Consider the following 6000-nt stretch of genomic DNA (forward strand, 5'->3'; position numbering starts at 1 on the left):
AATTTCTTTAATATGCATAATGTCTATTGAAATATCTTCAATGTTGGTAATTTTTTCTGCCAACAGAAGAAAAATTTCTTTTTCTTCTATCAATTCTACTACCAAGTCCCTCTTATGAATTCTTAGTTGTTTTACTTTTCAGCTACATTCAGCTACATGGTTTTTATTTAATTTTTTTTTGTTGGGGGGAGACAGGGTCTTACTCTGTCACCCAGCCTGGAGTGCAGTGGCACGATTTCAGCTCACCACAACCTCCACCTCCCAGGTTCAAGCAATTCTCCTGCCTCAGCCTCCAGAGTAGTTGAGATTACAGGCACATGTCACTACTGCCTGGCTAATGTTTGTATTTTTAGTAGAGATGGGGTTTCACCATGTTGAGCAGGCTGGTCTCAAACTCCTGACCTCAAATGATCCGCCTACCTCGGCCTCCCCAAGTGCTGGGATTGCAGGCATGAGCCACCGTGCTAGGCCTTAAATTTTTAAAACACAATTTCTATCTCTTTATTGATATTCTCTACTTGATACAACATTGTCATCACACTTTCTTCTAATTTTAATTATAGTTTTCTTTAATTCCATGAACATATTCATAATAGCTACTTTGAAGTCTTTTCTGTTAAACCTGACATCTGGTTTCTCTCTTACAGGCAGTTGCTGTTACTTCTTGTTTTCATTGTATGGGTCATGATTTCCTGCTTTTTGTTTGTTTTTGGAGTCTAGTAGTCTTTTTTACTGGAAACCAGCCAATTTAGATAATATATTGCAGCAACTCTATGTTTAGTCTCCCAGTGCTGGGGATTGTTGTTTTTATTTTCTTGTTCATTCACTTAATACCTGGCTAGATTATTTTAGTTTATCTCTCCTCCTCCAACAGTGTTAAGCCTCTGATGTTGATCTACAGATTGGTACAGTTTTAGGTATGTCCACGATCACTCTGGGACGACTCTCGTACTAGTAGGACCCTCTTTCACTCCTTCTCTGACAACATCCAGCTGTTAAGCTCCACTAATTACTACCAGATTGCTATGTTGTTTTTAACAATGTCTGGGACATAAATTCCTCTAGAAATTAACCCAATCACATTATGTCTCCTATTACAGGGTAGATTCTGGGGTCAGTGTCCAATGTTTGTTCTGATTCCAGGAAGTTTTTTTCCCAGTTGTCTTATTCCCCAGATATTTCCTGCAAACTAATTGACTTACAGTCTAAGTTGTATCATCCACAAATTTCCTCCCAACTGTCCTTTGCCACAACCTCCACTGATCCACACCTCCACTTAGTACCCATAGACTTAAACTTTTCTAAGCTCTGTTGCAAATGGAGTCAGTTCAATTGGGAAAAGACTGGGAGCTGTTTTATGGCCTGCTTCTTCTCTGTGGCAAAATTTCTGGAGCTGGATGTGGGAAGAATGGCAAGCTTATGTTGAGTGCTACCACCTCTCCTGGAGCGAAGCCCTTAGTGGGGAAGGGGGAGTGCATTAGCCTGAGGTCCTCCCCTGTGGCCATTCCTGACAGACACCTCATGAGCCAGACAAAGGCTATTAGACCCCCAGTGTTCTCAGTGGGTCATGTCCAAGGTAGAGCCACTGTTCCAAGAGTGGGAATTAGGCAGAAGGAAGCTCTCATCTCTTAATTATGCTTGTCAAGCACACAGCCTCAGCAAGAGACCACTGGGTACATCATAAGAATGCGAAATTCTTGCTTATCTCAGAAAGAGATATTTCTGGCTGGGAGCTGGGGGTACAGTTTTGATAATTCTTTCTTGCAGGAATATGGAATAGAACCTCCACCTCCTTGAGTTGGGTTAGGAGAGAGTAGTCTCAGTGCAAATACCAGTCCCTTGCCTTTCTCACTGAATTTTCATAGATTTTTAAAAATAGATATTTCTCTGTTTGTTGTTTGTCCTTGGGACAATTTGCAGAGACTGAATTTTTTTTTTTCAGTAAATTTTACCAGTTATAGTGGGAAGCTGGTTGGCAGAACTCTTCATATAGTTATGCCTGAAGTCAATCTCAGATAATGATCAATTTCTAAAAATATTCAACGTAATAATTTATATTTTCTTTTAGTATCACTCTAATAGAAATGAAATAAAAATACCAGTGTTAAGACTAATTTTATAACATTTTCAAATTGTTCTTCAACAGTAAAATTACCAGACATAGCCTATCATTCATTTGCAAGCTTTTTCTATTCTTAAATTATCACACTAGAGATGTAAAGAAAAAAACCCAACCTCTTTTTTTTATTATTATTATACTTTAAGTTCTAGGGTACATGTGCACAGTGTGCAGGTTTGTTACATATGTATACTTGTGCCATGTTGGTGTGCTGCACCCATTAACTCATCATTTACATTAGGTATATCTCCTAATGCTATCCCTCCCCCAGCCCCCCCACCCCATAACAGGCCCCCATGTGATGTTCCCCACCCTGTGTCCAAGTGTTCTCATTGTTCAATTCCCACCTATGAGCGAGAACATGCAGTGTTTGGTTTTCGGTCCTTGTGATAGTTTGCGCAGAATAACGGTTTCCAGCTTCATCCATGTCCCTGCAAAGGACAAGAACTCATCCTTTTTTATGGCTGCATAGTATTCCATGGTGTACATGTGCCACATTTTCTTAATCCAGTCTATCATTGATGGACATTTGGGTTGGTTCCAAGTCTTTGCTGTTGTGAATAGTGCCACAAGAAACATACATGTGCATGTCTCTTTATAGCAGCATGATTTATAATCCTTTGGGTATATATCCAGTAATGGGATGGCTGGGTCAAATGGTATTTCTAGTTCTAGATCTTTGAGGAATCGCCACACTGTCTTCCACAATGAAAAAAACCATTCTTTAAAAAATTAAAGTAATTATTTTATCTGTGAGGTTATGCCTTTAACTTGACATGCAGTTAAATTTGTCTCATTTTGTGACTTTTTAGTCTTTAGAGTTGGCAATTTTGTCATTCTTTAGAGTTAAGTTTATGCTTTTTAACTATTTAAAAGACATACCAATATTAGAAAATTGAAATAATGTGAATATGCACACGCACATTCTTTTTATTTGTGTCCTTTTTCCTAATCCCTCTTTACTGATAGAATAACATTTTTTTTTTTTTTTGGAGATGGAGTCTCACTCTATTGCCCAGCCTGAACTAAAGTGTAGTGGTGCAATCTCGGCTCACTGCAACCTACGCCTCCTGGGTTCAAATGATTCTCCTTTCTCAGCCTCCTGAGTAGCTGGGATCACAGAAACCTGCCACCACGCCTGGGTAATTTTTGTGTTTTTAGTAGAGACGGGGTTTCGCTGGCCAGGCTGGTCTCAAACACCTGACCTCAAGTGATCGCCCACCTCAGCCTCCCAAAATGCTGGGATTACAGACATGAGCCACCGCACCCGGCCAACATATCTTTTAGTTTTAAATTTAAATATGTGCATACACGTTTCTTTCCTCCCTTGTATGACATAAGGGAGCGTAACATAAACTCTTGTGAATACAATTTTTTAAACTTAACAATATATGGAGATCACTTATTATCATAATATGGCAATAAAACCTTTCTCATAACTCTGTATCACTTTGTTACATGTGCTATGACATCATCAACCAGTACTCTGGATATTTCTGTTGCAATAGTATAATACTATAAACAATATTGCAGTGAATAGTTTCACATATCTCATTTCCTTCCTTCCTCTCTCCCTGCCTGCCTTTATCTCTTTCTTCCTCTCTCCCGTTTTTTCTTGCTTCTTTTTCCTTCTTTCTGTCTTTATTTTTCCCCCTTTCTTTTTTTTTCTTTTTTCTGGTAGCTCTAGTAACATCAAAAGCTAGAAGTCATTCCTAGTTAGGTTATTTCTTAATATAAAACAGTGTTAGCCTTCTGAAAATTCCTACTGTAGAAAATAGAAAAGTTCCTCTTCAAAGTTTGTTTTAGTTTAAAAATAATAGACACTAGCAATTATAGCTTCTTACTCTAAAGCCTCCTATCGACTGTTAGTTCTTACACTTTAGCCCAATTAGTTGCTTTGGCTTACTCAGGCATGTCTAGACAGGCCCAGGCAACTCTTAGCTCATACCTTATGCCCCTTCCTTATTTGGAAATGTTCTTGCTTCCTTAAACCTTTCATAAGCAACTTCCTCTTCTTCTTTGTTTTCCCTTGCACTTACCTATTTAGGAAAGTTTTAGGTTGTTAGCAAATCCGGTATCAGTTTAGACTGTGAGGTCTGGCTCCAGCCAATGGATGCACAACACATCAGTAAGGATGACCCAAATGCATAAGGGATAAATATGTATGCTTTACCTTTGTTAAGATGTGCTCTTGCCATTGTTCCATCTGCGATGAACACCCTTTCTGAAAAAAGTAAAGATTGCCTTGCTGGGAGAATTAAATTCATGTTTGAGTGCTATTTCTTTGTGGTACTGGGGAACAAGCATTTCTAAAACCTACTTTAATGTAGCCTTGGTTTTTTTTGTTGTTGTTTTGTTTGTTTTTTGAGTTTCCTCTGTTGCCCAGGCTATGGCGTGATAATTTTTGCAAATTTTTTTTGGTAGAGACAGGGTTTTGCTGTGTTGCCAGTCTGGTCTTGAACTCCTATTCCTGGGCTCAAGAGATCCACCCACCTTGGCCATCCAAAGTGCTAGGACTTCAGGCATGAGCCACTGTGCCCATCTTTGGTCTTGAGTTTTAATAGACTGTTAAAGTTTAATAATTAATCATTCTAACTTAAAGACTTCATACTACCAGTACTAGCAAGAGGCAGCCTGTATAAGTGGTAATTACTAGGGGACAAGGGAGAGAAAGTATTGCTAGGATATGAAATGAAAAGACAGAATTAGAAGAAAAACCTTTGAGCAACCAAGAAGCTATATAGGGAAAGGATATTTAGAAGGAAAAAGGAGGACCACAAGAATAAAGGCCCTAATTATTTAACCCATAGTGTGCAAAATATTCTGATCAGTGGACTGAACAATCTAAGATCCAGCTACCTCATTCTCATTTTCTTTTTTATTTTGTGATGTTTAAAAACTTATGTGTATGTTTTTACTTTCTTGAATTAATTTACACTGGGCCAGCTACTCTAGAACTCTAGGCCACTCAAATTTTTTATTTGAGATTTCAGAGATTATTTGTAATAGTCATAATATTGTGTCCGGAATTGGGTTCTTGGTCTCACTGACTTCAAGAATGAAGCCACAGGCCCTTGCCGTGAGTGTTACAGTTCTTAAAGGCGGTGTGTCTGGAGTTTGTTCCTTCTGATGTTCAGATGTGTTTGGAGTTTCTTCCTTCTGGTGGGTTCGTGGTCTTCCTGGCTCAGGAGTGAAGCTGCAGACCTGAAATGTGAGTATTACAGCTCTAAAGGCGGCTGTCTGGAGTTGTTTGTTCCTCCCAGTGGGTTCGTGGTCTCGCTGGCTTCAGGAGTGAAGCTGAAGACCTTAGCGGTGTTACTGTTCATAAAAGCAGTGTGGACACAAAGAGTGACCAGTAGCAAGATTTAGAGTGAAAGAACAAAGCTTCCACAACGTGGAAGGGGACCCCAGCAGGTTGCTACTGCTGGCTCAGGCAGCCTGCTTTTATTCTCTTATCTGGCCCCACCCACATCCTGCTGATTGGTCCATTTTACTGAGAGCTGATTGGTCTGTTTTACAGAGAGAGCTGATTGGTCTGTTTTGACAGAGTGCTGATTGGTTCATTTACAATCCCTGAGCTAGACATAAAAGTTCTCCACGTCCCCACTAGATTAGCTAGATACAGAGTGTCGACTGGTGTATTTACAAACCATGAGCTAGACACAGAGTGCTGATTGGTGCATTTACAAACCTTGAGCTAGATACAGAGTGCCGACTGGTGCATTCACAATCCCTTAGCTAGACATAAAGATTCTCCAAGTCCCCACCAGATTAGCTACATACAGAGTGCTGATTGGTGCATCCACAAACCCCAAGCTAGACCCAGGGTGCTGATTGGTGTGTTTACAAACCTTGAGCTAGATACAGAGTGCTGATTGGTG

At 39.7% G+C, this 6000-nt stretch overlaps 1 annotated feature.

Annotated features, from left to right (window-relative positions):
• Positions 3614-4813: an enhancer, noted in NCBI's record as "MED14-independent group 3 enhancer chr11:97613933-97615132 (GRCh37/hg19 assembly coordinates)". NCBI's record gives its function as "activates an origin of replication core promoter dependent on BRD2, BRD4, P300/CBP and CDK7 cofactors, and independent of MED14, by STARR-seq in HCT116 cells {active_cell/tissue: HCT116}" and the evidence as "EXISTENCE:reporter gene assay evidence [ECO:0000049][PMID:35650434]".

The sequence above is a fragment of the Homo sapiens genome, chromosome 11, assembly GCF_000001405.40.
Source record: "Homo sapiens chromosome 11, GRCh38.p14 Primary Assembly".
NCBI classification, from domain to species: Eukaryota; Metazoa; Chordata; class Mammalia; order Primates; family Hominidae; genus Homo; species Homo sapiens.